Source organism: Homo sapiens, chromosome 18 (assembly GCF_000001405.40).
Source record: "Homo sapiens chromosome 18, GRCh38.p14 Primary Assembly".
In the NCBI taxonomy this organism is placed as follows: Eukaryota; Metazoa; Chordata; class Mammalia; order Primates; family Hominidae; genus Homo; species Homo sapiens.
Window position 1 is genome coordinate 77,414,203 of NC_000018.10, and position 17,645 is coordinate 77,431,847.

The 17,645-nt window shown below is 38.3% G+C and overlaps 1 pseudogene; it reads right to left on the minus strand.

Annotated features, from left to right (window-relative positions):
- Positions 1-17,360: 17,360 nt before the first annotated feature.
- Positions 17,361-17,487, minus strand: LOC124900408 (uncharacterized; annotated as a pseudogene).
- Positions 17,488-17,645: the final 158 nt, after the last annotated feature.

The following is a 17,645-nucleotide window of genomic DNA, read 5'->3' on the forward strand; positions in this document are numbered from 1 at the left end:
AATAACAGAGGGTAGGCTGTGTACCAAGTCATGGTGACAACAATACAAAGCAAGGCTGGGCGCGGTGGCTCATGCCTGTAATCCCAGCACTTTGGGAGGCTGAGGAGGGTGGTTCACGAGGTCAGGAGTTCGAGACCAGCCTGGCCAACATGGCGGAACCCCATGTCTACTAAAAATAGAAAAATTAGCCAGGCGTGGGTCACATGACTGTAGTCCCAGCTACTCAGGAGGCTGAGGCAGGGGAATTGCTTGAACTTGGGAGGCTAAGATTGCAGTGAGCCGAGATTGCACCACTGCACTCCAGCCTGGGTGACAAAGCGAGATTCCATCTAAAATTAATAATAATAATAATAATAATAATAATAATAATAATAATGCAAAGCAAGTGCTGAGTGTCAAGTGATGTAATTTTTGAGACAGTCATGATCCTGATTTCTCAGTGTCCTTTTTGTTTCCAGGATTACAATATGAACCACTGATTTCACCATTACTAATAAATATAATTATATATTCATGTTCATAAATTCTAGACCATTAGAGAGATTCTAGAACATTAGGTACATGGTATTCACTTGGAAATATTTCTAGAAAGAAGTTTAATAATAGTAATTACTTGAATTTGTAACTTTTAATCTTCAAAAAATAAGAAATGTAATGCTGAAAGAAAGAGTCCCTGTGGAAAGTAAGCCAAGAGATTCTAGTGCTGCTTTGAATTGTGTTTGCAGAAAATTGTCCAGATGATACATTTCTGTCTTATAATAATTTGTAATGACTCATAATTTGTGCGATTTATTTGACTTTTCTTTTTACCAGGCTAGGTTTTTGATAATGGCCATTATTCAGCTCATAAAATGTGCTCTGTGACTGACTTCTTTGTTGGATGCTGAGTAATATTTTACATAACACCTGAATTTCTTTTTTAGTATGATTGACTTTAGCAATGAATATATTGTAATGCTTTGGATAAATCATAAGTTTCTCAATTTCGTGTTATTACTCTATATTTTTATTTTTTATATTTAATTCAATTCTTAATTTTATAGTTTATCACTTTTAGTGATTCAATATTTTGGTGAATTTTTAAGTATCCTCTCATATTGTTCAGAGGCTGAATATGATCTCAGAAGGAGGCAGAACCAGCAGGAATGGGGGGCGTCGTCCACTCGGAGTCATTCCGCGGGGCTCCCTGCCTCGTTCTTTCTCTTTGTCCTTGTTACGTAAAATGTCTTTCACTCTCAACCTGATTTTTATTCTATAAGTATAAGCTTGGTTTCCGTCATTAAATGCATGACATGTGGTGTTGGTTTACAATGTTTGATGCTGTACTCTGTCTGCGGCTCCATGTGATCTTTTTGAATGACCATAGACATGCCTAATGCTGCCTTCATACTCTATACAGACATTCAGTGAACCTCTATTAAATCAATAAATGTCGAGTGATGTTACCATACCCTTCCTGGGTACCACTTCCAGTCAAGGGTGCTTGCCCATATTATTAGGTTGGACAAAACTGTGCAACAGTAATTGTGGTTTTTGCCATTATTTATTTATCCTTAATATATTTATGCAAATTCCCTTAATTATTTTATAACTTTGAAAGTATTAAAACAACATGATTAAAATGCCCCACAAAATTTGTATCATTGTTAAATTTCTGCTATGATTCTGTTTGCCTAATGTATATGGCTGCATATGCATTTATTATTACATATTTACTATTAGTTGTACCATTTATCATTTGGTAGAAATTTAGCTTATTGACATCTTTATTCAATTCTTTTTTTTTTATTATACTTTAAGTTTTAGGGTACATGTGCACATTGTGCAGGTTAGTTACAGATGTATACATGTGCCATGCTGGTGCGCTGCACCCACTAACTCGTCATCTAGCATTAGGTATATCTCCCAATGCTATCCCTCCCCCCTCCTCCCACCCCACAACAGTCCCCAGAGTGTGATGTTCCCCTTCCTGTGTCCATGTGTTCTCATTGTTCAATTCCCACCTATGAGTGAGAATTTTCGGTGTTTGGTTTTTTGTTCTTGCGATAGTTTACTGAGAATGATGATTTCCAATTTCATCCATGTCCCTACAAAGGACGTGAACTCATCATTTTTTATGGCTGCATAGTATTCCATGGTGTATATGTGCCACATTTTCTTAATCCAGTCTATCATTGTTGGACATTTGGGTTGGTTCCAAGTCTTTGCTATTGTGAATAATGCCGCAATAAACATACGTGTGCATGTGCCTTTATAGCAGCATGATTTATAGTCCTTTGGGTATATACCCAGTATTGGGATGGCTGGGTCAAATGGTATTTCTAGTTCTAGATCCCTGAGGAATCGCCACACTGACTTCCACAATGGTTGAACTAGTTTACAGTCCCACCAACAGTGTAAAAGTGTTCCTATTTCTCCACATCCTCTCCAGCACCTGTTGTTTCCTGACTTTTTAATGATCGCCATTCTAACTGGTGTGAGATGGTATCTCATTGTGGTTTTGATTTGCATTTCTCTGATGGCCAGTGATGGTGAGCATTTTTTCATGTGTTTTTTGGCTGCATAAATGTCTTCTTTTGAGAAGTGTCTGTTCATGTCCTTCGCCCACCTTTTGATGGGGTTGTTTGTTTTTTTCTTGTAAGTTTGTTTGAGTTCATTGTAGATTCTGGATATTAGCCCTTTGTCAGATGAGTAGGTTGCGAAAATTTTCTCCCATTTTGTAGGTTGCCTGTTCACTCTGATGGTAGTTTCTTTTGCTGTGCAGAAGCTCTTTAATTTACTGAGATCCCATTTGTCAATTTTGGCTTTTGTTGCCATTGCTTTTGGTGTTTTAGACATGAAGTCCTTGCCCATGCCTATGTCCTGAATGGTAATGCCTAGGTATTCTTCTAGGGTTTTTATGGTTTTAGGTCTAACGTTTAAGTCTTTAATCCATCTTGAATTGATTTTTGTATAAGGTGTAAGGAAGGGATCCAGTTTCAGCTTTCTACATATGGCTAGCCAGTTTTCCCAGCACCATTTATTAAATAGGGAATCCTTTTCCCATTTCTTGTTTTTCTCAGGTTTGTCAAAGATCAGATAGTTGTAGATATGCGGCGTTATTTCTGAGGGCTCTGTTCTGTTCCATTGATTTATATCTCTGTTTTGGTACCAGTACCATGCTGTTTTGGTTACTGTAGCCTTGTAGTATAGTTTGAAGTCAGGTAGTGTGATGCCTCCAGCTTTGTTCTTTTGGCTTAGGATTGACTTGGCGATGCGGGCTCTTTTTTGGTTCCATATGAACTTTAAAGTAGTTTTTTCCAATTCTGTGAAGAAAGGCATTGGTAGCTTGATGGGGATGGCATTGAATCTGCAAATTACCTTGGGCAGTATGGTCATTTTCACGATATTGATTCTTCCTACCCATGAGCATGGAATGTTCTTCCATTTGTTTGTATCCTCTTTTATTTCCTTGAGCAGTGGTTTGTAGTTCTCCTTGAAGAGGTCCTTCACATCCCTTGTAAGTTGGATTCCTGGGTATTTTATTCTCTTTGAAGCAATTGTGAATGGGAGTTCACTCATGATTTGGCTCTCTGTTTGTCTGTTGTTGGTGTATAAGAATGCTTGTGATTTTTGTGCATTGATTTTGTATCCTGAGACTTTGCTGAAGTTGCTTATCAGCTTAAGGAGCTTTTGGGCTGAGACAATGGGGTTTTCTAGATATACAGTCATGTCATCTGCAAACAGAGACAATTTGACTACCTCTTTTCCTAATTGAATACCCTTTATTTCCTTCTCCTGCCTAATTGCCCTGGCCAGAACTTCCAACACTATGTTGAATAGGAGTGATGAGAGAGGGCATCCCTGTCTTGTGCCAGTTTTCAAAGGGAATGCTTCCAGTTTTTGCCCATTCAGTATGATATTGGCTGTGGGTTTGTCATAGATAGCTCTTATTATTTTGAAATACGTCCCATCAATACCTAATTTATTGAGAGTTTTTAGCATGAAGGGTTGTTGAATTTTGTCAAAGGCCTTTTCTGCATCTATTGAGATAATCATGTGGTTTTTGTCTTTGGCTCTGTTTATATGCTGGATTACATTTATTGATTTGTGTATATTGAACCAGCCTTGCATCCCAGGGATGAAGCCCACTTGATCATGGTGGATAAGCTTTTTGATGTGCTGCTGGATTCGGTTTGCCAGTATTTTATTGAGGATTTTTGCATCAATGTTCATCAAGGGTATTGGTCTAAAATTCTCTTTTTTGGTTGTGTCTCTGCCTGGCTTTGGTATCAGGATGATGCTGGCCTCATAAAATGAGTTAGGGAGGATTCCCTCTTTTTCTATTGATTGGAATAGTTTCAGAAGGAATGGTACCAGTTCCTCCTTGTACCTCTGGTAGAATTCTGCATGAATCCATCTGGTCCTGGACTCTTTTTGGTTGGTAAGCTATTGATTATTGCCACAATTTCAGATCCTGTTATTGGTCTATTCAGAGATTCAACTTCTTCCTGGTTTAGTCTTGGGAGAGTGTATATGTCGAGGAATTTATCCATTTCTTCTAGATTTTCTAGTTTATTTGCGTAGAGGTGTTTGTAGTATTCTCTGATGGTAGTTTGTATTTCTGTGGGATCGGTGGTGATATCCCCTTTATCATTTTTTATTGTGTCTATTTGATTCTTCTCTCTTTTTTTCTTTATTAGTCTTGCTAGTGGTCTATCAATTTTGTTGATCCTTTCAAAAAACCAGCTCCTGGGTTCATTAATTTTTTGAAGGGTTTTTTGTGTCTCTATTTCCTTCAGTTCTGCTCTGATTTTAGTTATTTCTTGCCTTCTGCTAGCTGTTGAATGTGTTTGCTCTTGCTTTTGTAGTTCTTTTAATTGTGATGTTAGGGTGTCAATTTTGGATCTTTCCTGCTTTCTCTTGTGGGCATTTAGTGCTATAAATTTCCCTCTACACACTGCTTTGAATGCGTCCCAGAGATTCTGGTATGTTGTGTCTTTGTTCTCATTGGTTTCAAAGAACATCTTTATTTCTGCCTTCATTTCGTTATGTACGCAGTAGTCATTCAGGAGCAGGTTGTTCAGTTTCCATGTAGTTGAGAGGTTTTGAGTGAGATTCTTAATCCTGAGTTCTAGTTTGATTGCACTATGGTCTGAGATATAGTTTGTTATAATTTCTGTTCTTTTACATTTGCTGAGGAGAGCTTTACTTCCAAGTATGTGGTCAATTTTGGAATAGGTGTGGTGTGGTGCTGAAAAAAATGTATATTCTGTTGATTTGGGGTGGAGAGTTCTGTAGATGTCTATTAGGTCCGCTTGGTGCAGAGCTGAGTTCAATTCCTGGGTATCCTTGTTGACTTTCTGTCTCATTGATCTGTCTAATGTTGACAGTGGGGTGTTAAAGTCTCCCATTATTAATGTGTGGGTGTCTAAGTCTCTTTGTAGGTCACTCAGGACTTGCTTTATGAATCTGGGTGCTCCTGTATTGGGTGCATATATATTTAGGATAGTTAGCTCTTCTTGTTGAATTGATCCCTTTACCATTATGTAATGGCCTTCTTTGTCTCTTTTGATCTTTGTTGGTTTAAAGTCTGTTTTATCAGAGACTAAGATTGCAGCCCCTGCCTTTTTTTGTTTTCCATTTGCTTGATAGATCTTCCTCCATCCTTTTATTTTGAGCCTATGTATGTCTCTGCATGTGAGATGGGTTTCCTGAATACAGCACACTGATGGGTCTTGACTCTTTATCCAGTTTGCCAGTCTGTGTCTTTTAATTGGAGCATTTAGTCCATTTACATTTAAAGTTAATATTGTTATGTGTGAATTTGATCCTGTCATTATGATGTTAGCTGGTTATTTTGCTCGTTAGTTGATGCAGTTTCTTCCTAGTCCCGATGGTCTTTACATTTTGGCATGATTTTGCAGTGGCTGGTACCGGTTGTTCCTTTCCATGTTTAGCGCTTCCTTCAGGAGCTCTTTTAGGGCAGGTCTGGTGGTGACAAAATCTCTCAGCATTTGCTTGTCTGTAAAGGATTTTATTTCTCCTTCGCTTATGAAGCTTAGTTTGGCTGGATATGAAATTCTGGGTTGAAAATTCTTTTCTTTAAGAATGTTGAATATTGGCCCCCACTCTCTTCTGGCTTGTAGAGTTTCTGCCGAGAGATCCGCTGTTAGTCTGATGGGCTTCCCTTTGAGGGTAACCCGACCTTTCTCTCTGGCTGCCCTTAACATTTTTTCCTTCATTTCAACTTTGGTGATTCTGACAATTACGTGTCTTGGAGTTGCTCTTCTCGAGGAGTATCTCTGTGGCGTTCTCTGTATTTCCTGAATCTGAAAGTTGGCCTACCTTGCTAGACTGGGGAAGTTCTCCTGGGTAATATCCTGCAGAGTGTTTTCCAACTTGGTTCCATTCTCCCCGTCACTTTCAGGTACACCAATCAGACGTAGATTAGGTCTTTTCACATAGTCCCATATTTCTTGGAGGCTTTGCTCATTTCTTTTTATTCTTTTTTCTCTAAACTTCCCTTCTCGCTTCATTTCATTCATTTCATCTTCCATCGCTGATTTTCTTCCAGTTGATCGCATCGGCTCCTGAGGCTTCTGCATTCTTCACGTAGTTGTCGAGCCTTGGTTTTCAGCTCCATCAGCTCCTTTAAGCACTTCTCTGTATTGGTTATCCTAGTTATACATTCTTCTAAATTTTTTTCAAAGTTTTCAACTTCTTTGCCTTTGGTTTGAATGTCCTCCCGTAGCTCGGAGTAATTTGATCGTCTGAAGCCTTCTTCTCTCAGCTCGTCAAAGTCATTCTCCTTCCAACTTTGTTCCGTTGCTGGTGAGGAACTGCGTTCCTTTGGAGGAGGAGAGGCGCTCTGCTTTTTAGAGTTTCCAGTTTTTCTGCTCTGTTTTTTCCCCATCTTTGTGGTTTTATCTCCTTTTGGTCTTTAATGATGGTGATGTACAGATGGGTTTTTGGTGGGGATGTCCTTTCTGTTTGTTAGTTTTCCTTCTAACAGAGAGGACCCTCAGCTGCAGGTCTGTTGGAATACCGTGCCCTGTGAGGTGTCAGTGTGCCCCTGCTGGGGGGTGCCTCCCAGTTAGGCTGCTCGGGGGTCAGGGGTCAGGGACCCACTTGAGGAGGCAGTCTGCCCGTTCTCAGATCTCCAGCGGCGTGCTGGGAGAACCACTGCTCTCTTCAAAGCTGTCAGACAGGGACATTTAAGTCTGCAGAGGTTACTGATGTCTTTTTGTTTGTCTGTGCCCTGCCCCCAGAGGTGGAGCCTACCGAGGCAGGCAGGCCTCCTTGAGCTGTGGTGGGCTCCACCCAGTTCGAGCTTCCCGGCCGCTTTGTTTACCTAATCAAGCCCGGGCAATGGCGGGCGCCCCTCCCCCAGCCTCGCTGCCGCCTTGCAGTTTGATCTCAGACTGCTGTGCTAGCAATCCGCGAGACTCCGTGGGGTAGGACCCTCCGAGCCAGGTGCGGCATATAATCTCGTGGTGCGCCGTTTTTTAAGCCCGTGGGGAAAGCGCAGTGTTCTGGTGGGAGTGACCCGATTTTCCAGGTGCCGTCCGTCACCCCTTTCTTTGACTAGGAAAGGGAACTCCCTGACCCTTGCTCTTCCCGAGTGAGGCAATGCCTCGCCCTGCTTCGGCTCGCGCAGGGTGCGCGCACCCACTGACCTGCGCCCACTGTCTGGCACTCCCTAGTGAGATGAACCCGGTACCTCAGATGGAAATGCAGAAATCAACCATCTTCTGTGTCGCTCACGCTGGGAGCTGTAGACCGGAGCTGTTCCTATTTGGCCATCTTGGCTCCTTCCTCATCCTTATTCAATTCTTGAACGGTAAGTTGTTTTTTAAAAAATGTTAAGTTAAAAAGAAGAAAAGCCATATATAAGTTAGGTATAGGCATTGATGCATCTTTCTTTTACACATACACAAATGAACACACATATAAACACACACACATAAAACTTGGTTTTGTGTATATTATCCTTTTAAACATCATGAACTTAACCAATTTTTCTTAGAAAATTCTTTTCAGGCTGGGCTCAGTGGCTCACAGCTGTAATCCCAGCATTTTGGGAGGCTGAGGCAGGTGGACCACTTGAGCCCAGGAGTTCGACACCAGCCTGGCCAACATGGTGAAACCCCGTATCTACCAAAAATACAAAAATTAGCCAGTCTTATAAGCCAGTCTCAAAATAAATAAATAGGTAAAAATTAAAAAATATTTTTCATAATATATTTTATTTGCGAAAGTTTTCTAAAGAATATTTTACCTAATAAAACTTTTAATTTATAAGGCCCTTTTTCCACAGCAATTATTATTTGAAGTTGTATAGAGATAAATGACAGCTATGTGGTATGTAAAACACACACACACACAAATCTGTGTGTTTGAGTTTTATTATTCTGTGTTCTGCTGTCTACATAGGGTTAACATTGATCACTTTTTTTTTTCTATCAGCATAACTTTTTCTACCCATTTCTTTGCCCCTTCAAATCTGCTGTTTCCACTGGCTGTGAACTGAGGGAGTTATGCAGGAGAGCCAATTCTATGTCATAGAGCAGAACATTTTTTCTATTGAATTATGTTTCATTTATCTAACAAACATTTATGGATTATTATCTCTGCCAGACAGTGACATACACACATACGCTATTCACGTTTCCTGCATTCAGTGAACTATAATGTAATGTATTATATTATTATAGGTTATATACACACACAAACAAGTTTCAGTTATATAAAATAGACAGTTTCAAATGCTGTAGAGAACTATACATAGCAATACATTTGTGTGTGCTTATAAATTATCTATTTCTGAGGATCCACTTTCATTATTGGGTTGTGTTTCTTTTACATTTATTTTTAAATGTATACACAATACCATTTTCACTGTTCAGTTCTATGAGTTTTGACAAATGCATAGTCATGCAAATGCCATCACAATCAAAATACAGAATCGTTTGATCACTGTTGAAAAAAATCCCCCTGGTGGCCCTTTGAAGTCAAACGCTTAATCCCTGGAAATCCCTGACTTGCTTGCCTTCATTCTGTTTTTTAATCTCCAAGAAAGTCATAAAAATGGAGTCACATAACATGTAGCTAAACATGTAGCCTTTATAGAATGTGGCTTCTTTCATAGGGTAGTGCATTTGAGATTCATTCATGTTATGTGTCTACCAACGACCCTTCCCCCTTTGTGATTGATGAGTGGTATTCTCTACTTTATCTGGGTACCGGTTGATTCATCCTTTTCCCAGTCGAGAGACTTTGAAGATGTTCCCAGAGTTTGTGAATGGTGAGAAAGCTGCTATAAACATTCACCGTTAGGGGTGTGTGTGTGTGTGTGTGTGTGTGTGTGAACACAGATTTTCCAATGTTCAAATCTGCTTCTGAATGAATATCTAGAAATAGAATTGCTGTGTGCATGGTGAATATATGTTTAACTTTGTGAGGAACTGCCCAGTGTGTTCTGGATGGACTCTGCCCTTTCACAGCCCTCCCAGTGATGCATGAGAGTTCTGTTTGCTGTGCATCCTTCGTAGTATCTGATACTGTCTGGATTTTTAAAAAATTTTAGCCATTCCCATAAACATGTTATCTTTTTCATTATAGCTTTAATTTACATTTTCTTAGTGACTAATGATTTTCAGACTATTTTGTATGTTTATTGTCATTTACATGTTTGTTTAATGAAATATCTACATCCTCGGAAAACTCACTTATTAGTTAAAAAAATAAATGTCGGCCGGGTGCGGCGGCTCACGCCTGTAATCTCAGCACTTTGGAGGCTGAGGTGGGCGGATCACGAAGTCAGGAGATCGAGACCATCCTGGCTAACACGGTGAAACCCCATCTTTACTAAAAATACAAAAACGTTAGCTGGGTGTGGTGGCACATGCCTGTAGTCCCAGCTACTCAGGAGGCTGAGGCAGGAGAATTGCTTGAACCAGGGAGGCGGGCTTGCAGTGAGCTGAGATTGTGCCACTGCACTCCAGCCCTGGGCGACAGAGCGAGACTCCATCTCAAAAATAAATAAATAAAATAAATAAATAAATAAATATCATGGGATTTTTAATATAGACAATCATGTCATCTGTGAATATAGACAGTTTTCTTTCTTTAAGATTTTTGCTTTTATTCCTTTGCCTTGCCTTATGGCACTTGTTAGGACATCTAGTGCAATGTTGAATACAAGTGTTACGTGTGAATGTCTTTCTCCTTTTCTTCATTTTAGACCGTCCATTACGTATGAGATTAGAATTTTTTTGTAGATGCCTTTTGTTAGGTTAAGGAAGTTACCTTTATTCCTCCTAGTTTGCTTAAGTTTTACAAATTATTATTATGAATGAATAATAAATTTTACCAAATACTTTTTCTTCATGTGTTGAGATGATTATGTAGCCTTGTCTACTGCAATCTTTTTAAATGGCAAGTTACACTTACTGATGTTCAAATGTTGAACCAGATACACATTTTTGGAAGAAATCTCACTTGGTGCGATGTACTCACCTTCTTATACATTGTTGTGTTTAATATTTGGTTGAACATGTTTATATTCATGAGGGCTATTAGTTATAGGTTTCTTTTTATACAATTTTTTCCTGGTTTGGGGTTAGGGCACTTCTGGCATCATAAAAGAAGTTCAAGAGTATTCTTTTTTTCTTTTTAAGAGATTGTGTAAAATTTATATTATTTCTTTCTGAAATATTTGGTAGAATTTGCCAGTGAAACTATCTGGCCTTGAGTTTTCCTTGTCTAAAGGTTTTGCATTATAAATTCAATTTCTTAACAGGTCTAGGATTATTCAGATTATTTACTTCTTTTTCAGTGAGTTTTGGCATGATGTGTCTTACTTTTCAGAAAACTTTTATTTTAGATTCAGGGGTACACGTGCGGGTTTGTTATACAGGTAAACTTGTGTCACGCAGGTTTGTTCTTCATTTTTATGACTGCATAGTATTCCGTGGTGTATATGTACCATATTTTCTTCATCCATTCTACTATTGATGGGAATTTAGGTTGATTCCATGTCTTTGCTATTACTGCAGTGAACATACAAGTACTTGTGTTTCTTTTTGAGATGGAGTCTCACTTTGTTGCCCAGGCTGGAGTGCAGTGGCATGATCTCGGCTCACTGCAAGCCCTGCCTCCTGGGTTCACACTATTCTCCTGCCTCAGCCTCCCGAGTAGCTGGGACTACAGGTGTGTGCCACCACACCTGGCTAATTTTTGTATTTTTTAGTAGAGATGGGGTTTCACCATGTTAGCCAGGATGGTTTTAATCTCCTGGCCCCATGATCCACCTGCCTCAGCCTCCCAAAGTGCTGGGATTATAGGCGTGAGCCACCGTGACCGGCTGTGCTTGTTTTCATGACAGAACAAATTGTATTCCTTTGGGTACATACCCAGTAATGGGATTGCTGGATTGAATAGTAGTTCTGTTTTTAGCTATTTGAGGAATTCCTACAGTGCTTTCCACAATGGTTGAACTAATTTACAATTAATTTATAACTAATTTACAATGAATGTACTAACTGTGAATTAGTTCAACCCACCAATAGCATATAAATGTTCTCTTTTTCTGCAACCTTGCCAGCATCTATTATTTTTGACTGTTTAGTAATAGCCATTCTTAATGGTGTGAGATGGTATCTCATTGTGTTTTGATTTGCATTTCTCTAACGATCAGTGATGTTGAGCTTTTTTTCATATGCTTGTTGGCTGCCTGTAGGTCTTCTTTTGTAAAGCGTCTGTTCATGTCCTTTGCCCACTTTTTAAATGGGTCGTTAGTTTTTTTTCTTGTAAATTTGTTTAAGTTCCTTATAGATGCTGAATATTAAAGCTTTGTAAGATACATAGTTTGTAAATATCTTCTCCCATTCTGTAGGTTTTCTTTTCACTCTGTTGATATTTTCTTATGCTGCAAAGAAGCTCTTAAGTTTAATTAGATCCCATCTGTGAATTTTTGTTTTTATTGCAATTTCTTTTGGCGTCTTCATCATGAAATCTTTGCCAGTTCCTGTGTCCAGATTGGTATTGCCTAGGTTGTTTCCCAGGATTTTTATAGTTTTTGTTTTATGTTTGAGTATTTAATCCATCTTGAATTGATTTTTATATGGTATAAGGAAGGGGTCCAGTTTCAATCTTCTGCATATGGCCATTGATTGTTTTTGTCAGCTTTGTTGAAGATCAGATGATTGTGGGTGTATAGCCTTATTTCTGGGCCCTCTATTCTGTTCCATTGGTCTATGTGTCTGTTTTTGTACTAGTATTATGGTATTCTGGTTACTGTGGCCCTGTAGTGTAATTTGAAGTCGGGTATCATGACACCTCCTGCTTTGTGCTTTTTTTGGTAGAATTAGCCCTGGACTACCCTGGCTATTTGGGCTCTTTTTTGATTCCATATGAATTTTAAAATAGTTTTTATCTAATACAAAATTAGCCGGGCATGGTTGTGCATGCCTGTAATCCCAGCTACTTGGGAGACTGAGACAGGAGAATCGCTTGAACCTGGGAGGTGGAGGTTGCAGTGAGCTGAGATCGTGCCACTGTACTCCAGCAACAAGAGCGAAACTCTGTCTCCAAATATATAGATATATATTTTCTAGTTCTGTGAGGAATGTCATTGGTAGTTTGATAGGAATACCATTGAATCGGTAAATTGCTTTGGGCAGTATGGCCATTTTAATGATATTGATTCTTCCTATCCATGAGCATGAAATATTTTTCTATTTGTTTGTGTCATCTTGGATTTATTTGAGCAGTGTTTTGTAATTCTCGTTGTAGAGACCTTTCACCTCCCTGGTTTGCTGTATTCCTAGGAATTTTATTATTTTCATGATTATGTGTCTTTCAATGTATTGTTCTATTTTATCTAAGTTGTAAAATTTATGGGCACATAATTGTTCATAGTATTTTTTTGCAATCCATTTTATGTCTGTAGCATTTGTAGAGACATTCTTTATTCATTTTTGATATTGCTAATTGGCATCTCCCTTCTTTTTTGGTAATTTTAACTAGTGATTTATCATTTTTCTGATCTTAAAATGTTTTAATGCTATAGAATAGTTGTACATATTTTAGGGGTATATGTGATATTTTGATATACTCATATAATGTATAATAATAAAATCAAGGTACTTGGGATATCCATCACCTTAAACATTTATCTTATCATCATGCTGGGAACATTTGTATGATTTTCTACCGGCTATCTTAAAATATAAAATAGATTATTGTTTACTATAGTCACTCTACTGATTTATTGAACACAAAAGCTAATTTCTTTTAACTATTTTCTTGTACCCACTAATCAACCTCTCTTTGTCTCCCTCCACCACCCTTCCTGGCCTCTGGTAACCACCGTTCTATTCTTTATGTTCCTGAGTTTCACTTTCTTAGCTTCCACATATGAGACAGAAAGTGCAATATTTGTCTTTCTGTGATTGGCTTATTTCACCTAACATAATGGCCTCCAGCTCCATCTATGTTGCTGCAAATAACAAGCTTTCATTCTTTTTATGGCAGAATAGTATTCTATTGTGTATATCTGTCACATTTTCTGTATCCATTTATCCATACATAGGAACTTAGGCTGATTCCACATCTTGGCTATTGTGAATAGTGCTTTAACAAACATGGGAGGGCAGATATCTCTTCAATATATGGATTTTCTTTCTTTTGGATATATTCCAAGTAATGGAACTGCTGGATCATATAGTAGTTTTATTTTTAGGATTTTGAGGAGTCTCCATACTGTTTTCCCTAATGGCTGTCCTAATTTACATTCCCAGCAATACTGTATGAGGGTTCCCCTTTCTCCAAATCCTCACCAACCTCCATTACTCCTTGTCTTTGTAACAAAAACCATTTTAACTGAGTTGAGATAATACTGCCATTGCTCAGCTCCTTCTTGAACATCAATAATTCTTAGATTTGGCCTTTTCAGTTAATTTTTTATATCTTGTAAGTGTTCTTCATTCCTTTATATTCTTTTCTCTTTTATTCTCTCTGTGTATTTTGCAATAGCCTGTCTTTGAACTAACTGATACTTTCCTCTGCTTGATCTGTTCTAATGTTGAGAGCCTGTAATGAAATTTTCAGTTTAACAAATATATTTCTCAGTTTTGGAATTTGTGCTTGATTTTTAAAAATTATTTCAATCTCTGTTGAAGTCAGGTAGCTTGATGCCTCCAGCTTTGTTCTTTTTGCTTAGGATTGTCTTGGCTATAAGGGCTCTTGTTTGGTTCCATACAGAATGTAAGGTAGTTTATTCTAATTCTGTGAAGAAAGTCAATGGTAGCTTGATGGGGATAGCATTGAATCTATGAATTACTTTGGGCAGTATGGCCATTTTCACAATATTGATTCTTCCTATCCATGAGCATTGAATGTTTTTCTATTTGTTTGTGTCCTCTCTTATTTCCTTGAGCAGTGGTTTGTAGTTCTCCTCAAAGAGGTCCTTCACATCACTTGTAAGTTGTATTCCTAGATATTTTATTCTTTTTGTAGCAATTGTGAATGGGAGTTCACTCATGATTTGGCTCTCTTTTTGTCTATTATTGTTGTTTAGGAATGCTTGTGATTTTTGCCCATTGATTTTTTTATCCTGAGATTTTGCTGAAGTTGCTGATTAGCTTAAGAAGATTTGGGGCTGAGATGATGGGGTTTTCTAAATATACAATCATGTCATCTGCAAACAGAGACAATTTGACTTCCTCTCTTCCTATTTGAATACCTTTTGTTTCTTTCTCTTGCCTGATTGCCCTGGCCAGAACTTCCAATATTATGTTGAACAGGAGTGGTGAGAGAGGGCATCCTTGTCTTTTGCCTGTTTTCGAAGGGAATGCTTTGAGCTTTTGCCCATTCACCATGATATTGGCTGTGGGTTTATCATAAATAGCTTTTATTATTTTGAGATATGTTCCATCAAAACCTAGTTTATTGAGAGTTTTTAGCATGAAGGGGTGTTGAATTTTATCAAAGGCCTTTTCTGCATCTATTGAGATAATCATGTGGTTTTTGTCATTGGTTCTGTTTATGTGATGGATTATGTTTACTGATTTGCATATGTTGAACCAGCCTTGCGTTCCAGGGATGAAGCTGACTTGATTGTGGTGGATAAGCTTTTTGATGTGCTGCTGCATTCGGTTTGCCAGTATTTTGTTGAGGATTTTCGCATCGATGTTCATCAGGGATATTGGCCTGAAATTTTCTCTTTTTGTTGTACCTCTGCCAGGTTTTGGTATCAGATAATGCTGGCTTCATAAAATGAGTTAGGGAGGAGTCCCTCTTTTTCTATTGATTGGAATAGTTTCAGAAGAAATGGTACCAGCTCCTCTTTGTACCTCGGGTAGAATTCAGCTGTGAATCATCTGTTCCTGGGCTTTTTTTGGTTGGTAGGCTATTAATTACTGCCTCAATTTCAGAGCTTGTTATTGGTCTATTCAGGTATTCAACTTCTTCCTGGTTTAGTCTTGGGAGGGTGTATGTGTCCAGGAATTTATCCATTTCTTCTAGATTTTCTAGTTCATTTGCCTAGAGGTGTTTATAGTATTCTCTGACGGTAGTTGCATTTCTGTGGGATCAGGGGTGATATCCCCTTTATCATTTTTTATTGTGTCTATTTGATTCTTCTCTCTTTTCTTCTTTATTAGCCTTGCTAGCGGTCTATCCATTTTGTTGATCTTTTCAAAAAACCAGCTCCTGGATTCATTGATTTTTTTAGTGTGTCTATCTCCTTCAGTTCTGCTCTGATCTTAGCTCTTTCTTGCCTTCTGCCAGCTTTTGAATGTGTTTGCTTTTGAATGTGTTTGCTCTTGCCTCTCTAGTTCTACAGAATGAGACAACATTTTTGCAATCTATGCATCTGACAAGGGGCTATGCATCTGACAAAGGGCTAATACCCAGAATCTACAAGGAACTTCAACAAATTTACAAGAAAAAACCAATCCCATCAAAAAGCAGACGAAGGATATGAACAGACACTTCTCAAAAGAAGACATTTATGCAGCCAACAAACATGAAAAAAAGCTCATCATCACTGGTCATTAGAGAAATGCAAACCAAAACCACAGTGAGATACCATCTCATGCCAGTTAGAATGGTGATCACTAAAAAGTCAGGAAACAACAGATGTTGGAGAGGATGTGAAGAAATAGTAATTCTTTTACACTGTTGGTGGGAGTGTAAATTAGTTCAACCATTGTGGAAGACAGTGTGGTGATTCCTAAAGGATCTAGAACCAGAAATACCATTTGACCCAGCAATCCCATTACTGGGTATATTCCCAAAGTTTTATAAATCATTCTATAAAGACACAAGCACACGTATGTTTACTGGAGCACTATTTGCAATAGCAAAGACTTAGAACCAACCCAAATGCCCATCAATGATAGACTGGATAAAGAAAATGTGGCACATATACACCATGGAATACCATGCAGCCATAAAAAAGAATGAGTTCATGTCCTTTGCAGGGACTTGGATGAAGCTGGAAACCGTCATTCTCAGCAAACTAACACAGGAACAGAAAACCAAACACTGTATGTTCTCACTCATAAGTGGGATTTGAACAATAAGAACACATGGACACAGGGAGGGGAACATCACACACCGGGGCCTTTCGAGGGGTTGGGGGGCTAGGGGAGGGATAGCATTAGGAGAAATACCTAATGTAGGTGACGGGTTGGTGGGTACAGCAAACCGCAATGGCACCTGTGTACCTATACAACAAACCTGCACATTCTGCACATCTATCGCAGAACTTAAAGTATAAAAAAAGTGAAAAAAATTTCAATCTCTTTATTATATTTACCTAATACATTTCTGAGTTGCTTTTCCATGTTATTTCGAAGATCACTGAGTTTTCTTAAAACTGCTATTTTGAATTCTTGATCAGAGAGCTCATCTACTCCCGTCTAGTTAGGGTCAGTCACTGGCAACTTGATCTGTCTGTTTGGGGAGGTCCTGGTTTCCTGTTTGCTATTGTTTCCTGTGGATGTACATCTGTCTTTGCGTTGAAAACTTAGCTATTTATTTGTTTTCTCTGCCTGGCTTGTTTTGATTTTTATTGGGTATGTTTGTTCAGAGATTTCTTTGCAATGTATCTATCTTTTCTGCTAGGTCACTGCCTCTTCTTGGTCTTTTTAAAGAACCAGCTTTTGGTTTCATCAATTTTTTTCCCATTGTTTTTCTGTTTCAAATTTTATTGATTTCGGTTCTTATCTTTATTATTTAACTCTTCTGCTTACTGTGGGTCTGTTTTTTTTCCTTTAAAAAAAAGAAAATCTACTTAAACTTTGAGAAATGTATTTACTTTCCCACATCAACAATTATGGATTATCAAGTCATAATTATAAATGGCTAAGTCTTATACTTCCTCCGGAAAATATAGCACTATTCAGTGCTACGGATCCTATAGAGAATTTCAATCCTTGGTCATAGTGTTAATAGCTCTTGGCTTCACAGCCCCATGAGCCCGCATTGAAATGTCCTTTATTTTTTCTAGTTTCTTAAAGTGGAAACTCTGTGATTGAGTTTAGATCTTTTAATTTTCTAATTAAATATTTAATGCTCAAGTTTCCCTGTAAGCGCTATTTTAGCAAGGATTTTCATATGTTATTTCAGCATTTCATTCAGTTTAAAAAATATTT